This window comes from Homo sapiens, chromosome 1 (genome assembly GCF_000001405.40).
Source record: "Homo sapiens chromosome 1, GRCh38.p14 Primary Assembly".
NCBI classification, from domain to species: Eukaryota; Metazoa; Chordata; class Mammalia; order Primates; family Hominidae; genus Homo; species Homo sapiens.
In genome coordinates this window covers 69,783,277-69,801,894 of record NC_000001.11, presented here as the reverse complement: position 1 = coordinate 69,801,894, position 18,618 = coordinate 69,783,277, and the positions used below count along the sequence as shown (strand labels likewise).

Sequence of the window (18,618 nt, the reverse complement as noted above, 5' to 3'; positions counted from 1 at the left end):
GGAATACAGTAAAAGTAGTACTAAGAGGGAGGGAAGTTTATAGTATTAAATGCTTACATTAAAAAAAAAAATAGAAAGGTCACAGACTAACTTCCAGTCTCATCCCAAGAAACTAGAAAACAAAGGCAAACCAAATACACAGCACAAGAAAAGAAATAAAAAAAATCAGAGCAGAACTAAAAGATACTGAGAACAACAACAAAAACAATACAATCAATGAAATTAAAAGTTGGTACTTTAAAAGATAAACAAAATTGATAGACTACGAGCTAGACTAATCAAGAAAAGGAGAGAAAAGATCCAAATAAACACAATCAGAAATAAAAAAGGAGACATGATAACTGATGCCACGGAAATACAAAAGATAATCAGAGACTACCATGAATAAGTCTTTGCTCACAGGCTAAGAATTCCAGAGGAAATGAATGAATTCCTAGAAACATACAACCTCCGAATATTGAACCAGGAATACATAGAAATCCTGAACAGATCAATGATGAGTGGTGAGATAGAATCAGTAATAAGGCATCTCCCCAAAAATAAAATCCCAGGACCAGATGGATTCAGAGCCAAATTCTTCCAAACCTACAAAGAAGAACTGGTACCAATCCTCATGAAACAGTTCCAAAAACTTGAGGAGGAAGGAATTCTCCATAATTCATTCTAGAAAGCAAGTATTATCCTGATACCAAAGCCAGACAAGGACACGACAATAAAACTATAGATCAATATCCTTGTGAACATAGATGCAAAAATTCTCAACAAAATACTAGTAAACAAAATCCAATAGCACATCAAAAAGATCAAGTTGGTTTTATTCAAAGTGTGTGAAGATGGTTCAAAATAGGCATATCAATAAATGCAATTTATTACATAAACAAAAGTAAAAACAAAAACCATATGATCATCTCAATAGATAGAGAAAAAGCATTTGACAAAATGCAGTATCCCTTCATGATAGAAACCCTCAACAAACTAGGCATAGAAAGAACATACCTGAAAAAAATAAAGATCATATACTACAAACCCACAGCCAACACCACAATGAATTGGGAGTAGCTGAAAGCAATCCCTGTAAAAACTGAAAGACAAGAATGCCCACTTTCACTACTCTCTTCAATATAGTATTAGAAGTCCTAGCCAGAGTATTCAACCAAGAGAAAGAAATAAAAAGCATTCAAGCTGGAAAAGGGAAAGTGAAATGATCTCTGTTTACTATTGATGTGATCTTATACCTAGAAAACCCTAAAGACTCCTCAAAAAATGCTTAGATTTGAAAAAGGAATTCAGCAAAATTTCGGGATACAAAATTAATGTGCAAAAAATCAATAGCATTTCTGTACGCCAATAACAAGCTGAGAAACAAATCAGGAAAGCAATCCCATTTACAATAGCTGCAAATGAATAAAATGCCTTGGGATCTATTTAACCATGGAGGTGGAATATCTGTACAAAGAAAACTACAATACACTGGTGAAACAAATTGTAGATGACCCAAAGAAATGGGAAAACATTCCACTCCCTTGGATTGGAAGAATTAATATTGTTGAAATGACCATACTGACCAAAGCAATCTATAGACTCAATGCAATCCACATGAAAATATGCATGCCGTTTTTCACAGAATTGGGAAAACCAATCCTAAAATTCACGTGGAACTAAAAGAGAGCCTAAATAGTCAAAACATTTCTGAGCAGAAAGAACAAAGCTGGAAACATCAAATTACCTGACCCCCAAATTATACTACAAGGCTATAGTTACAAAAACAACATGGTACTTGTATAAAAATCAATGCAGATATCAATGGAATAGAATCGAAAAGTCAGAGATAATGTGACATATCTTTGCCAATGGATCTTTGACAAAGTTGACAAAAACATACACTGGGGAAAGGACACCCTCTTCAATAAATGCTGCTGGGAAAACTGGATCGCCATATGCAGAAGAATGAAACTCACCCTATCTCTCACCATATATGGAAATCAACTCAAAATGTATTAAAGACTTAAATGTAAACATGAAACTATAAAAATACTAGAAGAAAATCCAGAGAAAACACGTCTGGACATTGAACTAGGCAAATAATTCATGACTTAAGACCTTTTGAGATTTTGTGCTCTAAAGCACAATTAACAAAACCAAAAAGAGACATTGAGACAATTAAACTAAAAAGCCTCTGTACAGTCAAATAAATAATCAACAGAGTGAACAGAAAGTCTGCAGAATGTGAGAAAATATTTGCAAACTATAGCAAAATTTGAAATCAACCTATGTGTCCATCAATAAATGAATGGATAAAGAAAATGTAGCACACAAATACAATGGAATATTAGTCTGCAATTCAAAAAAGAATGCAATCATGTCTTTTGCTGCAACATGGATGGAAGTGGAGGCCATTATCTTAAGTAAAACAACTCAGAGACAGAAAGTCAAATATTGCATGTTCTGGCTTATAAGCAGAAGCTAAACAGTGTGTACACATGGACATAAAGTGTGGATTAATAGACATAGAAGACTCAGAAGGGTGGTAAGGTCGGTTGTGGGGAAAAGGATGAGAAATTACTTAATGAGTACAATGTACATTATTTGGATGATGGTTATACTAAAAGCCCAGAATTTACCACTATGCATTGTATGCACCTAACAAAACAGTTGTATCCCTTAAAGGTATACAAATAAAATTTAAAAATAAATTGGCAACTTCTTTATGACAAATGGCATCCCAAAGTGAAGACAAGCCACAAATTGGGAGACAATATTTGTAGCCCACATAATCAAAAAAAAAAAAAAAACTAGCATTCAGAGTATATAAATCTTTCAAGTCACCAAAAACCTAAAAGACAAGCATTCAAAATTAAAATGAACCCAAAGAGACAACTGTAAAGAAAGAGACTCTAAACTAGCCAACAAAAACAAAAAAAGAAAAAAAATGCCAACTTCACTAGTGATTAGGGAAATATAAAGCATGAAGCTACTCTTATATAGCCATCTGATTGGCCAACAATTAATATATTTAGTAACCCTGTGTGTGACACAGATATGGGGCAATGGGGACATTGGTAATTTTCTGGTATAACTAACACCAAAGGCAAATCTTAGAAAATATAGAATGAAAAACTTGAAGAATAATATATACAATGTGGTAGCACTTCACTGAAATTTTAAAGACATTAAATCTGAGAGGGAGGAAGTGGGAAGGGATTGAGATGAGCATTTACAAGTTTCTCTAACCTTTTATTTACTAATAAAACCCCTAAAGTATGAAATCTATAATACACATTAACACTTTAATTTCCATGATGGGTACATTGGTGTCTCATGTTATTATCTTCATACTTAAAATGTTAAAATAGTTTAAAAATTAAAGGTGCATAAATATTTTAATGTAGCTATCAAGCATTTTTAATACAATATTAAGTGTTAGGATAGACAATACACAGGGTGTATTAGTACAGAGGGGAGACCCTTAACTTAATTTAGTCAGGTCAGAGGCCACATGGAAACAATAACAACTGAATTGAGTTTTGAATAATAAGTACGATTGAACCAGGTAAAAAGAGGTGTAAAAAATGATTTAGTCAGAGGAAAGAGGAAATAATGTAAATAGAGTCACCAAGATTCACTATTTGAGGAAGCTCTTCAGTATCTAGGCCATAAAGTTAAAAAATGCAAATCAGCCAGGCGCGGTGGCTCATGCCTGTAATCCCAGCACTTTGGGAGGCCGAGGAGGGCAGATTACAAGGTCAGGAGTTCGAGACCAGCCTGACCAACATGGTGAAATCCCATCTCTACTAAAAATACAAAAATTAGCTGGGCGTGTTGACAGGCGCCTGTAATCCCAGCTACTCAGGAGGCTGAGGCAGGAGAATCTCTTGAACCTGAGAGGCAGAGGTTGCAGTGAGCCAAGATCATGCCATTGCACTCCAGCCTGGGTGACAGAGCAAGACTCCGTCTCAAAAAACAAACAAACAAACAAACAAAAAAAACAAAGTGCAAATCATGTGTGGTGGGATTGGCAGATGGAATGTAGGAGTTAATAGAGGTCAATTGCGGGTACTTTTAATTCTGTGTTAGGAACTCTACATTCTACCCTAGTTCAAATGACATATCTTATATTGGAGAGTAATGCAGTCATATTAGCAATTATGAAAGAGTGCTAAAGCTATTTTGTGGAGAATGGGTTTGGTAATTGTGGTGGCAATAATGGAGATGAGACCAGTTAGGAGGCTATCAAGTAATCTAGGAAAGAGATATGGGACTAGTTTATGAATGTAACAATGGGAACAGTAAGAAGGAAAAAGACCTGCCATATATTTAGGAGGTAAATTTGGCAGGAGTTGAAGACTAAATGGATATGGAAGTTGAAGAAGAGAATGAATTTTTGCTTTGGAAACCTGAGTAGATCATAGTAACATTAACAGAGAACTGGACAATGGAGGAAAAAAGCAGGTTGGAGAGAATGATGAATTTGGGTTTCAATACTTTATATTGGGAGTGTTTGTGGAATAAATATAGTGATGCCCAAAATGAAGTTTGTTATTCTAGTCTGAAGCTCAGGGGAAAGGCCAAAACTTGATATGAGGTAGTCATTATTCTAAGGAACAAAACCATTAAATGTATTATTATATGGCACTTTAGAGCTGACTTTAGTGGCTACTCATTACTTATCGGAGTGTCATTTCTATCTTTTCCAGCACTCGGTTAAAACAATTGGATGGCGACCTTATCCTATGTTGGGTCCCTAATGTAATTAAATACACATTATATATTTTTAAAAGAATGTCTCTATATAATTCTTATTTACCTGCCAAACATTTGATGAATGCCTACCATGTATACTGGGTATTGTGCTAGTAGTTCCAAACAGAGAAATAAATGAGATAGCTTCTAATCTCAAGGGTCTCACAATCTAGTCAAATATATAGAAATTAAATTAAAAAGTGAAATAAGTTCAAAACAAAAACATATACAATGTAAAAAAGTATCACAGAGGAAGAAGGAATTAATTCTCCTTATGTATACAGTGTCAGGGAAGTTTCCTAGAGTAAATGACATCTGAAATGTCTGTTTTTTGTTGTTGTTGTTTTTTGTTTTTTTTTTGAGATGGAGTTTCGCTCTTGTTGCCCAGGCTGGAGTGCAATGGTACAATCTCGGCTCACCGCAACCTCCGCCTCCTAGGTTCAAGCGATTCTCCTGCCTCAGCCTCCCAAGTAGATGGGATTATAGGCGTGTGCCACCATGCCTGGCTAATTTTTCTTCTTGTTGTATTTTTAGTAGAGGCAGGGCTTCTCCATGTTGGCTAGGCTGGTCTCGAACTCCCGACCTCAGGTGATCCGCCCACCTCGGCCTCCCAAAGTACTGGGATTACAGGCGTGAGCCACTGCACCTGACTGAAATGTCTTTTTAAAGGTGAAGAGGACTCTGTCTGGTTGATGGGGTACAGCAGTAGGGAGGAAGGGGTATTTTGGGTAGAGAAGATAAGAAGATAATATGATTCCTTGTGTCACAAGCAACCAGCTTGATGCATTTGGAAATTACAATCTGGTACTATCTGAGCATGAAATGGAAGAGAGATGACCAGCTGGAGTTGTGGTTAGAGTCATGTCCTTTGTAGGGACATGGATGAAACTGGAAACCATCATTCTCAGCAAACTATTGCAAGGACAAAAAACCAAACACTACATGTTCTCACTCATAGGTGGGAATTGAACAATGAGAACACATGGACACAGGAAGGGGAACATCACACACCAGGGACTGTTGAGGGGTGGGGGGAGGGGGGAGGGGGGAGGGATAGCATTGGGAAATATACCTAATGCTAAATGATGAGTTAACGGGTGCAGCACACCAACATGGCACATGCATACATATGTAACAAAACCTGCACGTTGTGCACATGTACCCTAAAACTTAAAGTATAATAATAATAAAATAGAAAGAATACATTTAGGAAAAACAAAATAAGAAAAAAACAAAAAAAAACCCAAAAAAAATCTGTTTACTCAAATTGTGCAGATATCTTTCTGTACACAATAGTTCACTTATCTAAAGGTGTTAATATAAAATAGTATTTTTGAATTATAGAGAGGAAAAATGGTGGATCAGGATGACAGGCAGTAGAATTGGACATGAAAAATAAAGGTAGGAGGCCACATCAACAATCAAGATCAGATTGAATCTTGACCTTAGAGTGAATTAATTTCTTTAAGGGGTCACTCATCTAATTTAAGCACATTTTAGGTAATTTTAACCTAGATTGACTAATATTTGAATGAGTCTCTGTTTCAAAATAGTCTATTATGTCCTGTCCCTAAATACCAATACTGCTTGTATTCTCTCAGGTCTTGCCTCTTTTTCAGCAGGGCTATTCCAACCTTGTCAACTGTGATTCTGACACTGCAGTTATTTTTTGCTATCTACTCTTTCTTCACTTGACAGATTCCCAAAGGATGTATTATGTTCCTTAAGTAACTGTCTAGTTTTCTGTCACAGAATCAGTGATAGCTTTTTTTTTTTTTTCGAGACGGTGTCTTGCTCTGTCGTCCAGGCTAGAGTGCAGTGGCGTGATCTCACTGCAACCTCCGCCTCCCAGGTTCAAGCAATTCTCCTGCCTCAACCTCCTGAGTAGCTGGGATTACAGGCATGTGCCACCACATCCAGCTAATTTTTATATTTTTAGTCAAGACGGGGTTTCACCATGTTGGCCTGGCTGGTCTCAAACTCCCGACCTCACGATCCCCTGGCCCGGGCCTCTCAAAGTGCTGGGATTACAGGCATGAGTCACTGCGCCAGGCAGTGACAGCTTTCTTAGGTATGGCTTTCTGAAATGGCTGATGTGATGAAATCTTACTGTTTGTGTAAGTTCTAGCAATGGCTGCTATCATTATACTCATCAAGCCTATAGTACTATACTAGTATTGCAGAGTGGTTCGCCATCTTTTGCATGACTTTTTGCATAAATATTTCCAGAAAATACAGAATCATAAGCATAGCTAAAAGCCCCGAGGTAATAGTTGCAAAAACTTCTAAGGATGCTTACAGATACTTCTGAGTTGAAAAAATATAACCTGTGGTTCACCTTCTAAGAGCAAACATTTCTTGATGTAAGAGAGCCATCAGAAACTTTTACATGCTCACAAAAATGTCAAATTATTTAGGAGTTTCATGTTTATATTGGGTGACAAATTATTTTCAGATCTTCTTTAAAAATAAGGTAGATTTTTCTTTACTTGGAATATCCAGCTAATCCTGCCTGAAAATCAAGGAATGTGATAATTGTCCATATACTATTTCTCAGAAATTATAACAAAAATACAATTTGAAGTGTGAATGTATATAAATAAAGAGGTAGTAGTAATTGTTTTATTGTACAGAAATACAAATCTATACAAATAGGTAAATCTATTCTCAAAGCATGGTAGCCCTAAGGTCATCTTTCCATGGGTCAAAACCTAGTTGTTCTTCTCTTTACACATCTGTGTATGGTACTTTTAGAATTGTCTTGCTGAAAACCCTCTAAGTGGCAAGTCAAGTTGGTGTAGAAAGAGGTCTGTGTCCCCTGTTTATGTTCTAATTGTCTCTTTCAGATGAAATACTCTCTTTATTCAGATTTCATGGAAATCTTCAGGAAACATGTTTTACTTGAACTCTTCCTGAAAACCTTCTAAGTGGCAAGTCAAGTTGGTGTAGAAAGAGGTCCGTGTCCCCTGTTTATGTTCTGATTGTCTCCTTCAGATGAAATACTCTCTTTATTCAGATGCTACAGTGTTTCATGAAAATCTTCAGGGAACATCTTTTACTTGAACTCTTCCCTAATAATACAGCAGTCTTAATTAATCCACCATTGTCTAAGAATTTATCATTGTAACATGTGCTTTATAATTAGGTACTTCATTGTATAGTATTTTATAATTTTCACTGATTATTTGAGAGTGTCAGTCTTATCCACAGTGATTCTATTAACTTCTCAATTACTCTCAAAGACTTGAATTAAGAAAATCACTAGCACTTCACACTGGTAAATTTCAACAAGTTTTCCATGTTTTGGAACAATCATTCATTTATGAATTCATTGAATAGATATTTACTGGGCTCCTAAAATGTGACACACGCTGTTTTAGGCAATGGAAATACAGCAGTAAACAAAAGAACAACAAAAAATTCAGGGCATCACTGAATTTTAATTCTAGTAAGGAGATTCCAGACAATAGATAAATAATTTAAATACACAGTGGGTCAGTTTTTCATATAAGAAAAAAAAAAGAGTAAAATGTGCTTCTATTGAATAATAATATCAGTATCTTATTTTTAAATAGGGTGGTCTGGGAATGCTTCTTTGACAGTACATTTAAGAAAAGGCCTGAAGGTGATAAGGAAATGAGCATTGCAGATATTTGTGGAGGAGAGTTCTGGTCAAATGAACAGAGACAAGGCTACTGAGATATTGTCATGGAGCTCTAAAGGCACCAAATTTCTTAGGAAATTTATATTTACATGTGACCAAGATATTTTTCTGATGGCCTTTCACAAAACAGATCCTTATTTCCCAGGATGTCAAGCCAATCTTATCTAGCTTCTTTTGGTCCTATCTGGTTATCACTTCTTAGGAAAACCTTCCCTAACTACAAAGATTGGATTGCATCCTTCTCTAGGCATGCCCTTCATGTTGAATGCATCTTCACACAAAATTGCTTATTTAATCATCTACAATTTCTTGTTTAATGGGCAACCCACTTGAACGTAAACTTCAGAAGGGCAGGATCTGTTTTGTTCATGCCTGCATTCCTGTCTCCTCAGCACTAAATATAACCAAATAAATAACCAAAGCACTACTTGTGCAGATACGGTGCACACACAGGAAGTTTAACTGACTATCTTAATGATGAAGGGGTCCTATTTTATATCCTCATTGTACCTAGACATAACCCTTTTTGACTGATCCTTGCTAATAAAAGGGAGAGCTGAGTTCATTTGGAAAGAAATGAAGATTTAATGAATGAACAAGGATGCAAGAGACTTTCTGAAGCTCTAAGTCACTCCCATAAATACTCAGGAGAAAAAATAATCAACCTGAATATCAACATCAGCATCATCATCAACAAAAACACCAGATATACAAGTCTGTCCAGAAATACAACAAAAACTACTAAATTCCTATTATTTATTAGGCATTGCTCTAGATGTTTGGGACACATTAGTGACCAAAACAAAGAAAAATTCTTCCTGTTATGAATTGGAGTTTACATTCTCAGTTAGGAGAAAATATACCATAACCATAGGAAATAGGTAAAGTATACAATATTGTGAGGATGGTTAGTGCTAGGGGAAAAAACTGAAGCCCAGTAAGGGAAATTAAGAGTATATTTTCAAATAGGGTGAACAGGTAGGCCTTGTTATGCAGGTGATATTTGACACATGTTGAGAAAAAATGTTACTCTGAGAATGAGAGAGGTCAGCTTTGTGAGGGCAGTAAACGATTCTAGAAAAGATTAGATCACATGTCTGAATGCAGAGGGAAACAAGACTTGAACGAGTCAAGCACATTAGTAAGAGGAGGAGAGACAGGACGTCTGTCTTGGACTTAAAATTTAGGATTTAACTTTACAAGAGCATTAAACTACAGTTGCAACAAAATCAAAGAAAAAGTTATTTTAGATTATTTGCTAAGAGAAGATATTAAAGCACATTTTCAGTTAAAAAATTCTAGGTATTTTATGATGAGAGAAAAATCTTACCATTTTTACTGATGTCGAGTTCTTTAAGATTAACTAAACTAGCAATAGTGGTTGGCAGATTTGAAAGGTCGTTATCAGGAATACTTAGTTTTCGTAGAGCTTGACAGTTGAACAATTGCTGTAATAGAAAATAATCATTAATTAGATCTCAATTTGGTTAAATTCATTCATAAACTCAGTAACAAAATTAAAGTCACCATGTTTATATATGTAGTAGTAAAAGAGCCAGTTATAAAAGCCTCACTTCCCTCCATACTCATCTTCTCAATTGTTTCTGAATGGCTTCACATTCTATTCCCATGTTAGTGCCTCTATTTTTGGCTACCCAGACTCAAACCCAAGATATTCTATTTTGCCCCTTCTTTTACCACTCTCATTCAATTTACCACTGAATCCCCCACTGACTGCTTTTTCTTTTAAGTAACTTCTGGAGTTGTCCCTTCTTTTCTATTCTGACAGCTACCAGGATTACCTCAGTTCTCTTTTTCTGTGACCACATTAGATTTCATGAGGTATTATTTTAATGTAATCACATTGAACAGTTGTTTATCAAATATGCAAAAACTGCAATAAACTGGAATACTTGAGTTCACATTTCTTTTGTGCTCCCTCCCCCAACTGCTTCATAAATATTTGGTGCATGAGACATTTAACCTCTGATATTTGGTGAAAAAAATCACTCGTAATTGCTTCATTTCTGCCATCAGTCCAAAGTATTAGGTGGGAAAGAGCCAAGTGTTAAAGTAATAGCTGTGAAATCCAGCATGCTTATATTCACTGGTTGAGGTAGATGCTTCTTTAAAGTGTGAATTATTGAGCTTTACCCAAATAGGTCCTGTAAGGGGGTCAAAAATCTGCATTTTTAACAAGCACACCGGTGATCTGGAAACTTTGATACAGGTGTTTGCAGTATCATATTTTGAGAAACAATAAATTAGATGGTTTAGCTCTGTCCAATTCATCTTGACTCCTGCCAGATATGAACATCTGGGACAGAATTTTTGATTCATTTCTGGAAGAATTATCTTAATGAGATCTTTTCTGTTTGACATTTCTAATTCTGTTTTGCTGAATTTCCACAGATGAAGTCTGGTATCCATGACTATGAAACTGGCCTACAGTACATTTAACTACCATTTGTTCTCCCATGTAATTCGTTATTTACAGGCAAAAACAATGTAGCACATGGTCGTTATGTCTTAACTCATTAGCCTTTAAAAAATAAATTGGGCTGGTTGTTACTTAATATGAAATATGCAGTTTCTTACTTTGGGTCATGTTTGGTGCCTTACAAAGACTATTCGTAACACTTCATGTAGTGTAGAATTAATTGTCAATATCTTAGATATAAATGTTGCTATTTCTTTGTATGAAACCTCAAAAAGAGAACTCAGATGCATACTTTGATGGATAGTTTCTACTATTAATTTTCCTTCTAAATAAATAGGAAAACAGATGCCTACACTCCTGGTATAAGTTAATTTATACTTATTCCAGTCTCTATCATTCTGTTACAACTATTACATCTATATCTGCATACAGTGTGGTCAGTTACAGATTCATAGACTTAAAAAAAGCAATTGTCTTATGAATGATTTTGGTAAGATTTACTAACAACTCTCTAGTCTGATCACTATTATATAACCATTTCAAGCCATGTTCAGGCTAATGATCTTCAAAACACAATTTGTTTGTTTTATAAATTTTTCTCATCATCCCAACTAAATTCTGAAGTGAGCTCAAGAATTAATAGTCCCAGTATTCTTTTTCAACTTTAAATGAAGTCACATCAGAAAGAAAAGACACAGAAACTTCTGAACAGCCTGTAACAAAAGAATCCAAGATCTCCTTGGTGGAGAAGCTAAGAATATGGTATGTGGAATCAGATTGAAGTGTGTTCAACCTTCACCCATCTATTTACTAGCTGTGCAATCTTGGGCAAGTTACGTAATATCTTTGAACTCATCAGTTTCCTTGCCTATAAAATGAGAACAATACATTACCTAACTTGAAGAGTTGTTGAGAGTGTTATTTGAGTTAATAGATTCATCAGTTCTAAGTCACACATATTTTCACATATTAACATCTTTGATATTTGGAATGCACCCTGCAGTCAGGAGTAAGTTATGATTTTTAAGGAGTCTTTTTTTCTTCCTTAATGGCACTACAATATGGATGTGTCTTATAATCAATGGCCTTGAATATTTGATGAAATAAGGTACTTGTGAAAATGTAAGACGTTGTTTGTCACACAGTAAAGCATGAAAACTGTAAGCCATTATTAATATTTATGTACCAGATACAGAGGCACACCTATATAATAATTTATTTTTTACTTTTCTAGATGACGGAGGCAGGAATCATGGCTGATCCATGTTGGTATCAACCTGTTTCTTCTTTCTATACACAAAAGTGACTGGTACAGTGTCTTATACATAGTACATACTGAAGAAATATTTTTGAAATTCTGCATAGCTAATTAAAAGGGAAATAAAGAGAGTGCTATATTCCAGCTAAGAGTGGTAGTTCACTGGATTGGGAACTTCAATAGGTAAACAGTCTCAGTGGAATCTAAGTTTCAAATATAAAACAGTGAACTTCTTAATATAATTATGAAGAATACAAATTGGCAAAGAAATTAAAAAGGCATTTTAACAGCTCTTTCAAGATTCGAAAGCTTTGAATTAAAATGAGGAATGATTATAAAATACATGTAATTCTTCAATATAGTAGAATATGGCAAATATAATTGATAGCTATTATAATTAGAGTAAAACTGTTAGTGGTCACATGGTAAACTCAATGATTCTCAAAGACTTGAATTGAATTAAAGGCATGGTTATCCTGTCTTCATTTGCTAATGGTATTTTACATTTCAAAAACAATAAAATTGTTTCAAGTCTTAAAATATTTGGGTACTAAAGTGTTCTTTTTTCTTGGGCTAAAGGAAGCAATTTAACTCTGAAGAAATTGGTTTGAGAAGACTATACAATATAAATTACTGACACCAAAGTAAACATTTAGAACTGAAACACAGCAGTTAGATGTCTTCTCTAAGAGCTGACAAAAAGAAAAAAGCCTCAAAAGTTGAAAATAAAAATACATTTGGAGCTAAAAAATGTATATTCCAAAATATTTCATTCATTCATTCATTTGTTCATGAAAAACCATTTATTGATACTTGCTACAAGCTAGACACTATGCTAAGTGCGGGGAAACAACTATACTTGAGCCCAGATTCTTTATACTTTAATATTCAGACATTAATATATTTTCATGTTCAGGCATTAATGTGCTTTATTATTCAGATGTTTAAGTTTTAATTAATTTAATTGAAATTTATGTTGGGGTAAATATCAGTTGTAATGAAAATGCACAGGTAGGATATCTGTACCAGATTTTATTGTTGATGGTGCTGGAGTTGATTTATGGAAGTATCTCTAGGAAAGGTGTGAAAAAATGGACACGAGAGAGCAATCAGAAGATAGCCAGATGAAGGCTAAAGAGGCAATAATGTCACACCTTTGTTGAAACATCTAAAGATAATCTCAACTCAAAGAATACGTAGCTCAAGCTAGTTTCAGATATTTGCTTGACAACATGAGGAGACTTGAATCTTGGAGTGAATGGTATGAGTCTACAACATCTATACGCATCTAAAATATATTTATTGAATATCTATTATGTGCTATGATTTGTCTTCAGCACTAAAGATAAAGGTATGAAAAGAAATCAACTTCTGTTTCAGAAGTATGGTGAACTAAATATTTAAAGAGTAATCTTTTGGTACAGCAAAACTAAACACCCTCACACTCACTCACTGCTTTATTGTATAAAATGAGCTCTGATTGTAATTTGAGGCAATTATTTGAATTCCAGAATAACAAGAAAAATAACACATAGACTTACATGAGTCTGGATTTAGCTTTTGTTCTGGTGGAGTCTGTTGGTCCTTGATGGGTTAAGCCTGAGTTACAGATATTGCAAGTGGAAGGATAGAAGACTGCTTGGACTCTGAACAGAGTGGGAGATTGGCTTAGAGACCACCCCCAGTGAGTGAACTAGAAAAAAACTGGGTCTGCAAAGGGATTTAGCAGGGGATACATGTATTTCTCAGCCTTGGCTTTGAGTGAAGAGTGAAAAAGGAAGAAAAGAAGGAAGGGAGGAAGGAAGGAGGAAAGAAGGAAGGAAGGCAGGCAGGAGGGATGGAGGGAGGGGGAAGAAGGAATAAAGAAAAGAAAAAGAATGAAGAAAGGGAGTGATATAGTCTGGCTGTGTCCCCACCCAAATCTCATCCTGTGGCTCCCACAATTCTCACATATTGTGGGAGGGACCCGGTGGGAGGTAATTGAATCATGGGGGCAAGTCTTTTAAGTTGGCTGCAGAAATTTGCATAAATAATGAGGAGCTGAAAGTTAGTCACCAAAGCAATGGGGAAAGTGTCTTCAGGGCATGTCGGAGACCTTTGCGGCAGCCTCTCCCACCACAGGCCCAGGGCCCCGTGCTATGTGCAGAAAGGGGCCAACATAGAGCTCAGGCCATGGCTTCAGAGGGTGCAAGCCCCAAGCCTTGGCAGCTTCCACTTGGTGTTGAGCCTGCAAGTACACAGAAGTCCAAAATTGGGGTTTGTGAACCTCTGAGTAGATTTCAGAAGATGTATGAAAATGCCTGGATACCCAGGCAGATGTTTGCTGCAGGGGCAGGGCCCTCATGGAGAATCTCTGCGAGGGCAGTGCAGAGGGGAAATGTGGGGTCGGAGCTCCCACACAGAGTCCCTCCTTGGGCACCCCCTAGTGGAGCTGTGAGAAGAGGGCCACCATCCCCCAGACCCCAGAATGGTAGATCCTCTGAGAGCTTGCACCATGTGCCTGGAAAAGCTGCAGACACTCAATGACAGCCCATGAAAGCAGCTGGGAGGGGGGCCGTACCCTGCGAGGCCACAAGTGCAGAGCTGCCCAAGGCTGTGGGAGCCCACCTCTTGCAACAGCGTGACCTGGATGTGAGACATGGAGTCAAAGGAGATCATTTTGGAGCTTTAAGATTTTGGACTTGCACGGGGCCTGTGGCCCCTTTGTTTTGGCCAATTTCTTCTATTTGGAATGGCTGTATTTACCCAGTGCCTGTACTCCCATTGTATCTAGGAAGTAACTAACTTGCTTTTGATTTTACAGGCTCATAGGTGGAAGGGACTTGTCTTGTCTCAGATGAGACTTTGTACTGTGGACTTTTGAGTTAATGCTGAAATGAGTTAAGACTTTGAGGGACTGTTGGGGAGGCATGATTGGTTTTGAAATGTGAGTACGTAAGATCTGGGAGAGTACAGGGGCAGAATGATATGGTTTGGCTGTATCCCCACCCAAATCTCATCTTGTAGCTCCCATAATTCCCACGTGTTGTTAGAGGGACCCAGTGGGAGGTAATTAAATCATAGTCTTTCCTGTGTTGTTTTTGTGATTGAATAAATCTCACAAGATCTGATGATTTTAAAAAGGGGAGTTTCCCTGAACAAGCTCTTCTCTTGTCTGCCAGCATGTGAGATGTGCCTTTTACCTTCCATCATGATCATGAGGACTCCCCAGCCACGTAGAACCATAAGTCCAACAAACCTCTTTCTTTTGTAAATTGCCCAGTCATGGGTATGTCTTTATCAGCAGTATGAAAATAGACTAATACAGGGAGGAAGTGAAAGAAGAAAAAATAAGAGGGATGAAAAAGAAGAAAAAAAGGAAAGGAAGGGAAAGAATGGAGGACAGAAAGGAATAGCAAAGGAATGAAGGGAGAGAGGGAAGGAAAGGAAGAAGGAAGAAAAAATAATAAAAAGACAGAGAGAGAGAGAAAAAAAAGTCTTCTAGGAATTGCCAACCACAAGACTGAGCTCTCTTGTGTTAGAGACTGGAATTCACAGTATTTATGGGGCTTCTTTAAACCCACTTGAGAGTTATAAGTGGTCCTGTGTTAGTATTGCCCCAAGTGCCAGGTAGAAGCATACAAGTCTCCTCTAAGGAACTCAACTTTAAATTTAGGCCTTTGTCTCATAGATAACACTGCAAGAAACATAACATCATTTAAAAAAATCACTAAATATATAATAAAATAATTGACTTGAGTGAGATGTTACAGAAAAACAAAGAATCAAGCCTGCAAATGGTGGATATAATGGAATTATGAAACTTAAAATGTAAAATAAATGCACTTAATATGTTTAAAGAAATAAAAGTAGGATTTAAAAGACTGCTTAAATGACATGGAGGACACGGTAAGAAGGTCTTTTTGGAATTTTGGGAAACCGTAGAAAATAAAATGAGTGAGGTAGTGGAGGAATTTCAGAATTGTTGGAAGGCACTCATATTCGGATTATTATTATATTATATTACAAACATTTTCAGATTTTTTCATTGTTTGGGAGGAAGGCAAAGATACTGATTAACTTTAGATCAAAGTTAAATATTCAAGTTAAGTTAAAGTGGTATGTTTACATTTCTAGAATAACAAATTAAAAAATAGAAATAAAGTGTATGATTTCTAGTTGATAGAGACAAAATAAATGGAATGAGATAAAGAAGTGGAAAAGACTTTGATAAATATAATGAAAAAAGACTCAGAAGTAGCAACACAGATAAAAATACAGAATAGAGTGAAATACATTAATACAAATGCATCAATGATTGCCTTCAGTAAAAATGGATTAATTTCTCCAATTAAGAAACAGACTGTCAGAATGGATTAAAATTAAAAACAAGCAATCTCTATGTTGTTTAACAGTGGTGCACCCAAAACTTGATGCAAAGTTGTAAAACTGTCAAAATTAACTAAAAGAAAGTTTACACAGCAATACTGATTTAAGGCAAAATACATTACTAGAGAGAGAGTGATCATATAATGATAATCACTTCAGTTTACCAGGAATGTATAACAATTATAAATGTACCTAGTATAGTAACATTAATATATTTAAAGGAACATTTGATGGATCTTCAAGGAGATATTATAAAACTGTTATCATAGCAGGATATTTAACACATTTTTCAATAATTGACTAAAAAACAGACAAAAATACAAAAAGCTATAGAAGAACTAATGGCTACAATTAATGAGCTTGTTCTACAGGACACATATAGAACACTGAGCTCAATTACTACACAGTATTTTTTAAAAATGCATATAAAAATTTACAGTTGATCATGTGCTAGACATAAAGGAAGTCTCAACAAACACCAGAGAATTCATAACAAAAAGACCAGTTTCTTGGTCAATAATGCAATTAAGTTAAAAATTTGTAACTAAAAAATAACTTTAAAAACATTTATATTGTGTTCTACATTTACAAACTAAAATTTAATAACTCATGCACCAAAGAATAAATGATAATGGAGATTACAAAACAATTAAATAATAAAATGTTACATAATAGAAATGCCACGATATAGCCAGAATAATAGGTAGTAAATGTGTAGCCTTAAATGCTTACATTAGAGAAGACAAAAGGCTGAAAATGAATGAGTTAAGCATGCGACTTAAGAAAATTAACAACAAAAGGTAACAGAATAAACCCAAAGGATGTAGAAGGGAGACAACAGTTAAGAAAGGAGCCCTTCACAACAATCTATGGAACAAGGAGGACACAGGAACTGAAGCAAGCATCAAACTGTGAGCTCCTCAAGGAGAGGAACCATGTCTTTTGTGAGTCATTGTATTTATTTTATTATTGTTTGTGTCTTTTAAAATGTCTTATTGTGAAATACACAGACCCAAGAGCGTATGTAATATGTATTTTTTAACTATAATAAAACTAAGACCCATATTTCTCAATCCAGTTGAAGAAAGTTCACCTATGCTCCTCTCTATCATATCCCTTTGTCTTCTACCCACCACCACTGAGAGGCAACCAATTTCTTGAATTTTATTTTACTAATTCCCTCGCTTCTGTTTATGCTTTTACAACAGGTTTAATAATCTTAAAATTATATATTGTTTGGATTTGTGTGTTTATCTTTATATGGATGGAGTAATACTGTATATTTCCACCTGCAACTTTCCTTTTTCATTTGATATTATGTTATTAATAGTATTCAATGTTAATGTATAAAATGTATTCATTCACTTTCACTGCTTTATGTTTCATATAACACGACTTTCTTATATGTTCTATTGTTCATGGCTTTTGGGCTCTTTCTCATTTTTTTCTAACATGAGCAATGCTGCTAAGAATATTCTAATATACATCTGCTAGTGCACATACACAAAAGTTGAAGACTAAAATTATTTATTTTTCTTCTAAATGTTTTAATGCTTTGATTGGACCTATCTGAAATTTATTTTTGAGAATGATATGAAGTAAGGATTTATTCTTTTCCACTTATAGATGACCAGTTATTCCAGAATCTTTTTTTTTTTTTTTTTTTTTTTTGAGATGGGGAGTCTAGCTCTGTCGTCCAGGCTGGAGTGCAGTGGCGTGATCTCGGCTCACTGCAACCTCCTCCTCCCAGATTCAAGCAATTCTCCAGCCTCAGCCTCCTGGGTAGCTGGGATTATAGACGCTCGCCACCACACCTGGCTAATTTTTTGTATTTTTAGTAGAGACAGGGTTCCGCCATGTTGCTGCTCTTGAACTCCTGACCTCAGGTGATCTGCCTGCCTCGGCCTCCCAAAGTGCTGGGATTACAGTTGTGAGCCACTGCGCCCGGCCTCCAGGATCATTTTTTAAAACTTCATTATTTCTCCACTGGTTTGCAAGACAACCTTTTTGTATATCCTATTTCCACTTAAGTGTGGGTTAGTTTCTGGACTTTCTATTTCTAGCCTACTGGTCTATTTGTCTATCCCTCTCTCACTCTAGCTGGGTCACCAGAATTCTATGACTTCGATTTGTGCTTTTCTTAAAAAA

The 18,618-nt window shown here is 35.8% G+C and overlaps 1 protein-coding gene across 10 annotated transcripts in view; it reads right to left on the bottom strand.

Annotated features, from left to right (window-relative positions):
- Window positions 1-18,618, bottom strand: part of LRRC7 (leucine rich repeat containing 7) — a 576,443-nt gene that overhangs the window by 342,470 nt on the left and 215,355 nt on the right. For all 10 annotated transcript variants that reach the window (NM_001330635.3, NM_001366839.3, NM_001370785.2 and 7 more), the window contains one exon: window positions 9,735-9,852. In NM_001330635.3, coding sequence (NP_001317564.1) covers window positions 9,735-9,852 — 118 coding nt within the window. The remainder of the gene's footprint in view (window positions 1-9,734; window positions 9,853-18,618) is intronic.